The sequence below is a fragment of the Homo sapiens genome, chromosome X (assembly GCF_000001405.40).
Source record: "Homo sapiens chromosome X, GRCh38.p14 Primary Assembly".
NCBI classification, from domain to species: Eukaryota; Metazoa; Chordata; class Mammalia; order Primates; family Hominidae; genus Homo; species Homo sapiens.
The window spans coordinates 133,920,794-133,935,565 of NC_000023.11; the positions used below are offsets into that span (position 1 = coordinate 133,920,794).

Here is a 14,772-nt window from a genome sequence, read left to right on the forward strand (position 1 = left end):
TTTTAAATTTACATAAGAGTTGCAAAATTAGTTTCATCCAGCTCCCCCTAATATTAACACCTTACATAACCATGGATTATTTGTCAAAATTTAAAAATAAACATGGGTATAACATGATTAACTGAACTACCACCTTTATTTGGATTTCCCCAGATTTCCCACTAATGTCCTTTATCTGTCCCAGGCTCTAATTCACAATACCACATTGCATTTACTTGCTCACTTAAGTTTAACAAGATAATCCAAATTTTTGCCTCACTCAAGACTCATAAAATGCCATTTCATTTAATCAGATTTTCTTTTAGCTTAGCTATTTCTATTACAAGGTTATGAAAATATAGAGAAAATACCATTTTAGAATAAGTCAGAATATTCTGTCTTCCTGATTTGCACATGAATTAACTGATCTCAGAATTCTTCCCAGAAACTTTGGTATTGTTTCTCTCCTCTGGTCTCCGGGCCCCTCTTAGCTCTATTCATGCCCCACTACCAATCAGGTCCTTGCTGGCTGGGAACCAAGGCAGCACCGGTAGCCACTCCACTCATCTTAAACAAGGGACAAAAACAAGTACTAAACCAAATGGAATAGAACTTTGAGGTGGGGAGCTACAATCAGTAACCCCAATCCTTCTAGAAACACCTCTGGATAAAAGTGATTTGCTCAGCAAACATTTCTTTAGCATCTGTACATATGATTTCAAAGTGGTGCAGACAGGCTGAGTAACTTGACAAAAAGTCATTTAGCTAATAGATGGCAGAGCAGTGATTCAAACCCCAGTTCCTATGTGATTCCAAAGTCTATGATCTTAACTATTCCATTATTGTGCCTTTCTTGAAAGATACTCAATAAATAACTGAGCTGAATCAGTCCAATTCTAGCTTTTGAGCCTTGATTTTTTCAACCTTGACTTGAACTTTGACCGTAGCACTGGTTCTGACTTGATCTTTATGGCAAATATGCTTTCTTTCTTCTTTTACTAAAACGTTGGCCCTGCCTACCCTGATATGTTGCACTGTATACCAACCCAGTTGCCTGCTCTGTGATGTGTCTCCGCCATGTTATGTTAACATTTCCTGGATGTGCCTGTCTCTCCTGGTTAGGGACCATCCTACTTCTTTCTCCCCGCAACAATGAGGGACCTCTGACGTCTTTTGCTCTGGCAGTAGTCTGGTTGCCATCTGGCCATTAAGCAGTTCTAGACCTGCTCCTGGCCCTCTGCTGCCCTCTAGCAGTCGCCGGCTACTCTGCCCCATCTGGAACAGGAACTTTACCTTTGGGCCTTGTATACTTCCACTTGGCTTGGTAACCTTAAAGCCAGGAAAAGGGAAGTCTGGCTGAAACAGCCTGGATTCCCTGGGAGAATGACACTTGGCAGCAAGTAGCTCAAGAAGAATGACTTTCTCTTCTTCCTTTTTAAGAGAAGGCTAGAGGGAAAGGAGGAAGAAAGACTGGTCCTACGCCTTTCCCACTGAGAATCTCTCAAGGGATACTGTTCCCAAAATGGCACTGTGGAAGACCTTGTGTGTCCAACTTACAAAGTGTGTTTGTACTAGTTGTGGTCCCACCTTACAAAGGAGCTTTCCAGCTCTGAGAATGGAGGATGGAGGGGGCAGCAAGTCCTTGGGCCTTTGGGAAATGGATATATCAGTGTCTTGACCCAGTGGATACTTTCTAAACTCCTCTAGCCACTATAAGGGTGACCTCAGGAACTACCAGCTGTGCACAGGTGGCAGAAGCCTTTGATGACTGGTTTCCTCTTCCCTAGAGTAATTTAGCAGCAGGAGTGGGTGCAGGGTGGAAGGAGCAGCTGTTTATTCTCATGACACTTCCCACTCCTGAAGACAGCTCTTTGATTGATTCACCACCAACCGCCCCCTTGCCCCCCGCCCCCAGAAGATCTAGCTTGGTCTCCAGGGACAGAAACAGTTTGGGCTTAGATAGGTTGTGCAACTTCCTCTGGATCAAATACTGGATCCTCAGGAAAAACAAAAACAAAAACAAAAACAACTTCCCTCAGTTCTGTCTGCTGGTAAGGATGACAGGGGTGACAATAAAGGTACCACTGCCACCACCTCCATCCCACCTTTTCCCAGCTTATTTACTTGATCCTGACTACAGCTATGTGAGGTAGAGTCTTCTATTAGCCCCATTTTAAAGACGGGGAACATGAAGGTCTAAGAGGATAAGGCTCTTGCCCAAGGTCACATAGAGGCAGAGCCAGGATTTGAACCCAAACAGTTTTAGGATGAAAAGAGCCATTAGGATTGAAAACAGACTTCCAACAAGAAGCCTTACATTCCCCATCTGAGCACCCTTTACCAACACATACACGCGTGTACACACACACACACACACACAGCATCCCAAGCGACTGTTTGTTTCTCTTTTCCAGCAAAGAGCAATTTAATCTCCTTTTAGGAAACAAAATCGGACCCATTTAGTCAGGGAGAGGAGACAGGCTGAGAAGAGAAAAGCAAGTGAAAGTAAAAATCAAACTTGCTAAACACAGGAAGTGGAGGAGGCAGGCTGGAAGCTCTGATCAGAGAGATAGGACATGGTAGGTCTCAGACACTGCTCCCTCCTTTATGAGAAGCCCTAAAGCAAGAATTCAAGAGAGAATAATCTAAAACATGTCCTCCCTAAATCCCCACCCCACCCCCATCCTGAAATAGACGGTAGGTCTTCCTGATCACTGGGAAGACAGAGGAGAGAAATTATTGCCTTTCCCTTCTAGCCTTCCATAAATTCCAGCCATTAGTCAAGGCTGAGAATCTAACACAGAAAGAGGGAAAACTGGAAGAACCTCTAAGATGAGGGCTGTACAACCCAGCCAGCAGGTCAAAGGATTGGAGGACCACCCTGAACAGCATGGGAACAACTGGATTACAACAGCTGGTTGGGCCAAGGCTTCTCAGCCCTAGGCTCGGCAGTGGCCCAGGCCTACTGTTTATTTGCATTGCAAAAGCAAGTCACCCTCAAGCTGGATCTTCCAAAGATGATAACATCAGCTCCCATTTAATTATGAAAAAGGAACAGTCAAAATAAGCAGATGACTCTCGGCTTTGCTTTACTGCCACAGGTTGAATTTCAGTACTGATTGACACTGACAAATGCCAGGTACGTGAGGAAATGGCAGTCCTGAGATGTTCTGCTTGGTTGTTCTCCGTCCTATAAATCGCCCAGGAACATTGTTTTTAAAAGGGAGAAATCACCTTGACATTCTGATGATTCTAAATTTGGGAATCACTGTCAGATACCAGTGGCTTTTACATGACATTTACATATGAAGAAATTTTTAAATGAAAAATGTATTATATATTCTTTAACATTAACACTTGGCTGAAAAATATTCCACTATGTGTGCTGGTACAGGGCTGCAATTGAAATTCCAGTCGCTTTTAGAAAATGCTCAACACTTTTGAAGCTATTTCCTACCAATGAGTTTATCGCACAATATATAGAACCCAACTGGCCACTTTAAATGGCTCTAGAAGGCAATTGTATATCAAACTCCTCCATAATGGATTTTTTTAATTGTTAAAGAAACTCATCAATCCTCAGTAATCATTTTAAAGTAAAAATGATTCACTCATAACTAGAAGCGAGTGCAGCCCCTGCTCCCACTCCAAAAGCCATGACCATGAATAACTCCAATTCACCCCCAATTCTGGAAGTGCTAATTACCTCCACGGATGCTATACAAGCAGCTAAAAAGCCAGATGACCACAAGCAATTAGCCAATCAATCTGACTTGAAATCGCCCCCAACACAATTGGCAGAAAGCCATATATGAAGTCGAAATGGGCAGCCACCTATTTGAGAGAAAGGTTTTCACCATCCACACTACATTAATAACCTGCCATGGTGTCCCAAATTACCACCATTCTAATCACACATTGGGACTTAGGCCCTGCTCAAAAAGTGAATAGGAAAAAGAAACTCATTGTCAAAAACATGTTAGCCCATTAGGACCTATTACCACACGAAGTAGCTCTCACCTAGGAAAACTGAGGGCAGTGTTCTGAATGAATGGGAAGGAGAGAGTCAGTCCATTTCTGGGAAAGGTGACAAAGAGAAAAGTATTCGTGGAAACAGAGGTGTAGAAGAGGTGGGTAAGGTGAGTGAAAACAAAGCCCATCTAGTTTCCATATTCCTTAAAGAGGAAAAGAATGTGCCTGTCATCATTTGAGCCTAGGAGGCAGAGGTTGCAATGAGCCAAGATCACACCACTGCACTCCAGCCTGGCGACAGAGTGAGACCCTGTCTCAAAGGAAAAGAAGGTGGCTGTCACAAATAATAATCACACCAGTCTAACATCAATCCCCAACAGGATTTTAGAACATGTCATCAAGCAGAAGATGTGTGAGCATTTCAAAAAGGAAGAGGCATTCAAAAGAAACTGGCACAGTTTTATAAGAACAAGTCATGGCAGAGTAACCTCATTCCCTTTTATGATAGGGGTACTGGGCTGAAAACCAGAGAAATCCAGTGGATATACTGATTCTGGATTTCAAGAGGGCCTTGGACAAAGTGAAGAGTAATGTCCAAGAGAGACTGCTCTGGACTGCAAAGAACACCACTGGCTGGTTCCCTCACTGATTTAATGGCAGTACTAAAGGTGCTAGTTAATAGATTAATGTCAACTGAAAAGGAAGTCTCTAATCAGGATTTTAAGGTATCTTCTCTGCTCAATATTTTTAATCAATGACTGGTGTGATGGCATAAATGATGCACTGATCATATTTACAAATTACTAAAGCTGGAAGAACCGTTAACTAATTTTGAAACCCTAAAATCTGGGCTCAAATTTAGTAAGATGTCATATCAATACAGGACCAAATCCCCAAAGGTGAAATGAAGGCCAGTGATAAAAGTTTGGAGAATTTTGCTTGATTATAAATACAACACTTGCTAACTCAACCATGAGTGGCTGTTAAATTGGTTGCCTCAATAAAAGTAATACTATGTAGATAATAGGAGGTAATTGCTACCCTGTGCATCACACTGGGCAATTCCGAGTACCACAATTTAGAAGGATAACAACCAAGTAGAAACCTACTTGAGTAGAAGCCACATGAAAGCAACTGGTATGGTAAAAGAGTTACATGGAGATGGATTGTGGGCCAACAAACATAAGAACTAGCAACTAAAGCTAACCAAAAATTAAACGGCTGCCTCTTAGGGGAGGGAGTTCTTGATCAGAAGAGGTTTTCACTCCAAAACCAAATGACCACTCACCCAAAATATGTTGTACAGAGGAGTCACACAGAGGTATGAGGGTTGCATTTGATGGTGTTTCTAAAGCTCCCTGACAACTCTGATATGCTGTGATTCTATGGAACCACCTCCCTAATTTACAAAACTGAAAAAGGACACACAACTAAAGCCAAGCCTCTGGGTAGTAAATTAACTCATGAAAAGAAATGTTCTGAACCCAGTAGAGAGAATAAGGAAGTGGCAGACAATCCTAGTCCTTTCTTCCTCCAAACTCCGTAGCTGTAGGGGTCTTATTTGCATGGATGGCTTGGGAGTTTAAATAAACTTCATTGGGTGGCTGAGATGTTTGTAATGAGGACAGGGGTGAAGGGAGTCAAATGGTGATGTGTAAACAACTTATTTCCCTGACTTCTGTGAAAACAGAATCTGATGTTTTTCTATAGAGTGATTTATATGGATAGGGACAAAAACAAAACAATGAACTAAACCACACTCCAAATGTGGATTATTTGTGAAATATAATTGAAACACAATCTAAAGCAAAGCATTTCTTCCATGAGCCCTTAATTGAGAAATAAAAATAACACGGAGATCATGTCCATAGACAGACTGACGTCAATGTTTGAGGAATTTAGCTGAATAGACTACCATGTGCATGTCTGAAACTACCCAGCAGTGCCTGACACACAGTAAGTGCTCACTAAATAGCTGGCTGACAGTAACAGAAAAATTAAAGTGTTTGAGGCATCTAACCAAAAATACCGTCCCCCCTCCGCCCCCCTGCCACCGCCCCGGCAAATCGGCAAATTCAAGCCTGCAATATGACAGCAGGATTCAGGTCTTTTGTTTGAGGTAGCTTAACCAGACTGGGCCTGGAGCTTGGTGTTCCTTGACCTCTGGAACGCTGAAAGGGAGAACACAATTTCCTAGGCAGACTGCTCAGGGTCACTCCTCTGGAACCACCAATTACACTCACTTCCCTAGTGAACTACGGAAAGGACTGGCTCTTTCTGCACATTGGGAGGCAGCAGAGAGTGCAATTCTGGCCTGTTGTCCCTGGAAACCCTAAGGGGTTCCGCTCCAGTACATGAAACACAGGAATTAAAATATTCCCTTTGGCACTGTAAGAGAAAAGAAAAAATAAAGAACATACCTAAATGTTTGCCAATAGGGAAGCAGATGGGTGGGAATATTATGCAGCTGTTTTTTTTTTAAAGTACAAAGTATTTAAGTACTTGTTTTGAACGATGCCAGAGATGTATAAAGTGAAAAGGTATGTTACCAAATAGTATATATGGTATGACCCCATTTATGTAGGAAAAAAAACTGTATGAGTAGTGAGTGTGTGCATATTTATACAGAAATACATGGGGAAAAGTTCAGAAGGATACACACATCAAACTCTTTACAGTGTATGCAGCTGACAATATAAATAAGATAGAGTGAGGGATAAAGGGGGGACTTTCACTTTTTTTTTTTCTTTTCTAGACAGTCTCCCTCTGTCACCCAGGCTGGAGTGCCTTGATGCAATCATGGTTCACTGCAGCCTCATCCTCCCTGGGCTCAGGTAATCCTCCTGCTTCAGCCTCCCAAGTAGCTGGGACTACAGGTGTGCACCACCAAACATGGCTAATTTTTGTATTTTTTGTAGAGACAGGGTCTCGCCATGTTGCCCAGGCTGGTCTCGAACTTCTGACCTCAAGCAATCCATCTGCCACAGCCTCCCAAAGTGTCAGAATTACAGGTGTGAGCCACCATGCCTGGCTACTTTCACTTTTTACTCTCTATATTTCTTTTATAAAATAAATTTTACAGTGTATATTTAAGGTATACAATGTGATGTAATAAATATACATATATATATATTATATATATATATTTACTATAGTGGAACAAATTAACAACTCCATCATCTCACATACACATTCCCCACTTTCCTTGTGGCAAGAACAGCTGTAATCTACTCATTTAGTAAAAATCCTGCATACAATATGCTATTATCAACTATAGTCCTCATGTATTATATATTAGATCTTTCGACTTGTTCATCCTAAATATCTGCTACTTTGTATCATCTGACCTACATCTCCCCATTTCCTTTCCCCTGCCCCAATCTTGGTAGCCACTGTTTTATTCTCTATCTCTGTATATCTCTGTATATTTGACCTTTTTCCCCTTTAATGTCCTCCAGGTCCATCCATGTTGTGGCAAAAGGAAGGTCTCCTTTTCTTAAAGGCTGAATAATGTTGCATGAAACATTTTCTATTCATGTTTCTATTCATGAAACAGTTTCTTTATCAATTCATCCATTTGGACAACCAGGTTGTTTCCATATCTTGGCTATTGTGAATAATGCAGCAATGAACATTGGGAGTGCAGATATCTCTTAGACAGACTGATTTCATTTTGAGGGGTATATACGTGCTAAAAATTGCTGGGATTGCTGGGTCATATGGGTCACATGGTAGTCCTAATTTTAATTTCCTTAGGAACCTCCATACTGTTTTCCATAATGGTTGCACCAATCTACATTTCCATCAGCAGTGTGCAAGGGTTCCCTTTTCCCTACACCCTTGTCAACACTTGTTATCTCTTGTCTTTTTGATAACAGCTATCTTAACAGGTGTGAGGTGGTACCTCATGGTGGCTTTCATTTGCAATTCCTGATGATTAGTGATGTTTAGCATTTTTTCAGGTACCTGTTGGCTATTTTTATGTCATCTTTGGAGAAATATCTATTCAAGTCCTTTGCCCATTTTTAAATCAAGTTATATGTTTTCTTCCTATTGAGTTGTATGAGTTCTTTATAAATCTTGGATATTAACCCCTTATCAGATATAAGGTTTGTAAATATTTGCAACCATTTTCCCAATCTGTAGGTTGCCTTTTCATTTTGCTGATTGTTTCCTTTGCTGTGCAGAAGCTTTTTAGTTTGATGTAGTCCCATTTACTTATTTTTGCTTTTGTAGCCTGAGCTTTTGGTGTGATATCCATAAAATCATTGCCAAGGTCAATGCCAAGGAGCTTTTCCCCTATGTTTTCTTCTAAAAGGTTTATGGTTTCAGGTCTTACTTTTAGGTCTTCATCCATTTTAAGTTGATTTTTATGTACAGTATAAGATAAGGGTCCAATTTAATTCTTTTGCATGTGGAAATCCTGTTCTCTCAGCACCATTTATTGAAAAGACTATTCTTTCTCCATTGTGTCCTTTTTGGTGCCCTTGTGGAAAATTAGTTGACCACATATGTTTGGGTTCATTTTTGGGTTCTTGATTCTGTTCCACTGGTTTTCCATATAGTTCTGTATTGTTTCTTTCTTTTTGTTTTTTCATTAAGCATGTCTAAATACTGTATGCATTTCTCCATCTTAGAAAATTACCTTTGTAATTTGAAAAAAATATCAAAAATGGAAAAGGAAGAAACCCCTACCCTTTCACCCAGCCTCCTGGGAATCCACAGAGTGACTAGGTGAAGTAGTCCAGCCAGGCCTGCTTAGCTTCCCTGCTTTCCTTGCTCCATACAAGACATTTTTACTCTTTCTTTTTGGTGGCAGGTGGTCACAGGTTGCAAGGAGACTAGTTCTTAGGGTAGTACATTGCCCTAAATGGAGAGATAATTTATTAACAAGCAATTCTCTCAGAAGTTCAAAACCCTGGGAGAAGCAACAATCTTTTCAAAGCCTTCTCATAAGAAACAGCAGCAGTGCCCACTAGTAAAACTATACAATCTATGTGCCAAATACTTCTGATGGAGAAAACATGGCATTTGAGGCAAACAGAAACTTAGTAAAGTAAAAGTGCTGATTCACATAAGCCTAAAGACAATAAAAACCTTGGCACACATGTTCTTTTCTATCAAATCCATTCAGATACCATGCACACACAAAAGTTGTTTAGGAAAACAAAATCGGGCAACATTGAATAACTAGATTCAATCAACAAAATACTCCTGTAAACCACTTGTGAACTCCTCTTTGGTTAGTCACCAAATAATTCCCACACTATACAAAGAGCATTCCATGAAAAAAAGGTTCATGTACAAACATGCCTCATGGACCAGTTTTCCCCATCAGAATGAGAATGTGAGCCAACTCAGAAAAATTAAAGAGAACTAGATTTAGAGCTAGAAGGCCAGTTTTCAAACTGTGACTTGCCAACACAAGACTTCATGCCAGTGGTTCTCAATGGAAGATGAATTTGAGCTCCCCCCAACTGCCCCAGGCCCAGGGACATTTGACAACATTTTTGGTTGTCACAACTGGAGAGAGGTACTCCTGCGTCTAGTGGGTAGAGGCCAGGGATGCTGCTAAACATTCTACAATGCACAGGACAACCTCCATGACAAAGAATTACCTTGTCCCAAATGTTCAAATGTTCATAATGCCAATATTGAAAAACCCTGCTTTAGACAAATCACTTCTCATCTCTCTATCCTTGGTTTTCCTACTTGGAAAATAGGGACTATGTGTCTCATGGAAGCAGAAATGTTTTAAAGTATTTAGTTTAATGTAAGTGTGGGATTATCTGATCTTACCATTATTTTTTAGTACTTCAAGTCTATAAGAAATGCCTGAGAACTGATCATTTTCAGCTTCAAACTTTAATGTGGAGTTTTACAAATACAATTTTATTTTTTTTCTTTTTTGAGACGGAGTCTCACTCTGTCACCAGGCTGGAGTGCAGTGGTGCGATCTTGGCTCACTGCAACCTCTGCCTCATGGGTTCAAGCGATTCTCCTGCCTCAGCCTCCTGAGTAGCTGGGACTACAGGCGCGTGTCACCACGCCTGGCTAATTTTTGTGTATTTTTAGTAGAGACGGGGTTTCACTATGTTGGCCAGGATGGTCTCAATCTCCTGACCTCATGATCCACCCGCCTCAGCCTCCCAAAGTGCTGGGATTACAGGCATGAGCCACCGTGCCCGGCCACAAATTATTTTTTAAAGTAATTTAGAAATGAGCCATAGACATCTTCCTGGTGAAAATAGTACTTGAGGCAACAGATAGTATCGAGCAGAGACTGAGAGACCAGGCACTCAAATAAGAGTGTCTGGAGTTCAAGTCATGGCAAGGTACTGAACATCTGTAAAACATGGTACTAACAGTATCTACTTTATAGGGTTGCTGTGAGGATTCAATGTGTTAATGTATATAATGAGCTTCTAACGATACTCGGTACATAGTACATACTCATTAAATATTTGCTATTGTTATTTTTAATGAAGCACACTAGAGATATACAAGGTATTATGAGACACAAAGGAGGGTAACCTAATCCAGTGGAGGGGGTAGTCAGGGAAGGTGTCCTGGAGAACGTGGTACTTCAGTTACATCTTAAAACCTGACAGATGTTAAAGGAAAGGTATAAAACTTGAGGCAGGGAGGCTGGTTAGAAAGCGATTAAATCCTCAGGATAGAGCTGAGGGCTGAAACCAGGGCAGTGATAACCAACAGGACTTGGTGACCACTGGCTATGGGGAAAGAAGGACCCAGGAAGGAGGGGGCAGAAGATAGGACATGAACAAGTTGCTTACCCTCTCTGAGCTTCCATTTCCCTCATACATCAAATGAAGACAATGCTACCTATTTAACAGGATTACTGCAGGGATTAAATAAATGTATTAAAACCCTCTAGCATAGTGGCACATAGTAGACAATAAATGGAAACTCTCACTATTATTCCTGATTATTATTAACAACAATTACAATAGCCCTGGAAGGACTAAGGACTAAGCCCTAAATGACAGCTAGCCCACAAGGCTCAGCATCAGGAAAAGACATGCCTGGTGTTACACTATTGGCTTCATAGCAGAGCCATGAATATAAACTCTATATTCCACCTCCTACTCTGTGGTATGTTTTTTTTGTTTTGTTTTGTTTTCCTCCCACTGTACTGTTCTAAATGGTTGGAGGAGGCTCCCCTCCAAAAGATCAAGGTGAGCTTACCCATATTGTCAGCAGTCTTCTCCCAGTGTCAGCAATGAATAGGATTCTAAAACACACTGGAGGACTGCTTCCTTCTGCTCAAGGTAAAAATTGCCCATACTCCTTAATCTGATCATTGTACCCCACCTCTCTTTATTAAAACAGAAAGCTCAGTGTATATAACTGAGTGGATAAACTTGCTATTTCTACAGATGCTGGGATTTTAACTGTATCACCTCCCAAGAGAACTAAATGGTAGACAGTAGCCTGATTATAATCAGAACAAACACAGCTGGATTTCTAAATGGTGCAACTCCCTTAATGCCTCCACTGGGCTATAGCTTTGCTATTGTTGTTTGGTTTCTTTAAAAGATGTTTATTATACTCAGTTGAAAACCATAAGGGTAAAGCTTCTAATTCTGCAGGCCCCAAACTAGTCCCTCTTAAAAGCAACATAGGTGAGATCAAAATAACTATGTTTGAGAAAGGACATGGGAGGCAACATGTAAAATAATAGTTCTTCCCTCAAGCCAGGTAGAAATCTGAATGGTAGCAGAATATGCCAGCAATCAGTACCCAAATGGATATTATTAAATCTAAGAATCCTGAGTTTACTGCTGTTAAAATAACTGAGACTGCTTATTTGAGTCCATTAAATAATAATAATTTGAATCTATTTGTTCAGACTGGGATTTTTCATAAAACCAAATTAGAGTGGAATGGAGTTTTAGAGATTAGCTAGCCCTGTGGTCCTTAACTGTTTGGGAGGCATAGACCCCTTTACGTATCTGACTTAAACTCTGTGCTTTCTCTTCAGAAAAAAAGTCACATATACAAAAAAATTTTACATAAAATTTCAGGGGCTTCAAGGAACCACTGTAACCTATTAATGGACCCCAGTTAAGAACCAATGTGCCAGTCTCTTCATCTCTTTGGACAGACAAAGAAAATTAATTTGCCTGATTTCCTGTTGGAAAACAGCCTTATATTTAAAATGTGAATTACACATAATAACCCTAATTAATAAGAGCCCCTTATATAAGTGTGCATATAGCGCTATTTGGTTTAATATGCAATTTTACATATACATCTTCTTATTCTTATAACTAATATAAGAATATGGACTAGACATGTAATAGCTCCATTTTATAGGTTAGAAATCCAAGGTTTTGGGAAATTAAAGCTCAACAAACATTTAGAAAATCTACCATATATATCTACCTACCAACACTGAGTAAGGGGGCAGAGATACAGAGATGAACTCAAAACGGACCCTTGAGTTGCTTTCAGTCCTGTCAAGGGGACAGACATTCTCCACCCTATCCAGAGCACATCATTTCTAGGTTACTAGAAACCTAGAGATGCCAACAATGAGCAAGGGAACATGGTGTGGGGCAGGTGGGATGGGGACTAGGGAGGATTGCAAGGAGACCTAGCCTCACCTGCAGGTTTAGAAAAGGATCCCTAAGGTGTTCAGACAGCTTGTTGCAGGATCCAGAGCCTGAAAATGACCAACTAGGAACTGCAATCTAAGTATTCTAAGACTTCCCTATGGGCTGAGCTTCCCAAAGGCCTTTGCTATAGTTTGGATATTTGTACCGGACCAAATCTCATGTTGAATTGTAATCCCCAATGCTGGAGGTGGGGCCTGGTGGGAGGCATTTGGATTGTGAGGGCAGATCCCTCATGGCTTGGTGCTGTCTTCACAATAGCGAGTTCTTTGGAGATCTGATCATTTAAAAGTGTGTGGCCCTTCTCCCCCTCACTCTCTCTCTCCTGCTCCTGCTTTCGGCACGTGATGTTGCAAGCTCCTGCTTCACCTTCCACCATGAGTAAAAGCTTCCTGAGGCCTCCCCAGAAACTGATGTCAGTACTATGCTTCCTGTACAGTCTGCATAACTGTGGGCCAATTAAACCTCTTTTCTTTTTTTTTTTGTTTTTTTTTTTTTTGAGATGGAATCTCACTCTGTTGCCCCGGCTGGAGTGCAGTGACACGATCTCAGCTCACTGCAACCTCAGCCTCCTGGGTTCAAGCAGTTCTCCTGCCTCAGCCTCCCGAGTAGCTGGGATTACAGGCGTGTGCCACCATGCCCGGCTAAATTTTTTGTATTTTTTTTTTTCAGTAGAGATGGGGTTTCACCACCTTGGCCAGGCTGGTCTTGAACTCCTGATCCACCCACCTCAGCCTCCCAAAGTGCTGAGATTACAGGTGTGAGCCACTGAGCCCAGCCTAAACCTCCTTTATAAATTTTATTTTTATTTATTATTCTTATTCCTTTTTCAGATGGAGTTTCGCTCTTGTTGCCAAGGCTGGAGTGCATGGTGCAATCTTGGCTCACTGCAACCTCCACCTCCTGGGTTCAAGCGATTCTCCTGCCTCAGCCTCCCAAGTAGCTGGGATTACAGGCACGCACCACCACGCCTGGCTAATTTTGTATTTTTAGTAGAGATGGGGTTTCATCATGCTGGTCAGGCTGGTCTCAAACTCCTGGCCTCAGATGATCCACCCGTCTTGGCCTCCCAAAGTGCTGGGATTACAGGTGTGAGCCACCAAGACCAGCCAAACTTTATTTATATATATATACATATATATTTTTTAAGACAGGATCTCACTTTGTTGCCCAGGCTAGAGTGCAGTGGGGTGATCACAGCTCACTGCAGTCTTGACCTCCCAGGCTCAGGGGATCCCCTACCTCAGCCTCTCCAGTAGCTGGGACTATAGGCATGTGCCACCACACTCAGCTAATTTTTTTTTTTGTATTTTTTTTTTTATAGAGACGGGGTTTCGCCTCATTGCTCAGGCTGGTCTTCGAACTCCTGGGTTCAAGTGGTCCTCCTCCTCAGCCTCCCAAAGTGCTGGGATTACAGGCGTGAGCCATCATGCCTGGACTTCTTTATAAATTATCCAGTCTCAGGTATTTCTTTATAGTAATGCAAGAATGACCTAATACAGCCTCGCAACTAGACGGGGCTGAAAAATCACTCCTGGAGACACAGCTTCAATCACATCAGGAATATTATAGAAAATGTCTAGCTCTTCCATTTTCAATAAAAGTCACTCTCAGAACATGCTCAGTACATACAAATTTGCTTTAGCACATGAAAGTTAATTAGCCATGACTCAACTTAAACATGAGATAATTCAGTAGGTAAATCCGAAACACTTCCTTCCTACTAGTGACCATGTTACTATACTCAAATGTTCCCCCTCCACACTTAATTTTCTAATCTTGCTTCCTTTGTGTTTTGCTTTGGAGCTAGGTATTTATCTCTTTTCTTTCCTGCTATGCTGGTAATCAGGGCCTCTGAATGGCTCGGCAGAATAAAGAAAACAAAAGTGATTCTTAGAGGGGCCATACAACTTTCTTGTAAGTACAAAGGCACATTTCTACTACAGTTTCACCGTCTGTATTAAAGATGTCTGGGAAAGGAATAATAAGTGTGTGGCGGGGGTTGGAAACAGCTACTTGGACTGACACAGAAAGAATTGTGCAGGACAGCTATATTTTAAATGTCTTTTTCTTCTGTCTTCTTCTCTCTCTGACCTCCCACTGCCAGCCGCCCACTCCCCCATCCATTCTACCCCCAAAAGGCCCTGAGCATTTTGGAAGCAAGATGAATTATTTCCCTTTT

The 14,772-nt window shown here is 41.3% G+C and overlaps 1 protein-coding gene across 5 annotated transcripts in view, besides 2 other annotated features; it reads right to left on the reverse strand.

The window, feature by feature from the left end:
- GPC3 (glypican 3) overlaps window positions 1–14,772 on the reverse strand; it is a 449,850-nt gene that overhangs the window by 385,049 nt on the left and 50,029 nt on the right. The gene's annotated exons all lie outside the window — the stretch shown is intronic.
- Window positions 2,420–2,469: an enhancer, noted in NCBI's record as "active region_29975". NCBI's record gives its function as "activates an Ori minimal core promoter by ATAC-STARR-seq in GM12878 lymphoblastoid cells {active_cell/tissue: GM12878}" and the evidence as "EXISTENCE:reporter gene assay evidence [ECO:0000049][PMID:35858748]".
- Window positions 2,530–2,579: an enhancer, noted in NCBI's record as "active region_29976". NCBI's record gives its function as "activates an Ori minimal core promoter by ATAC-STARR-seq in GM12878 lymphoblastoid cells {active_cell/tissue: GM12878}" and the evidence as "EXISTENCE:reporter gene assay evidence [ECO:0000049][PMID:35858748]".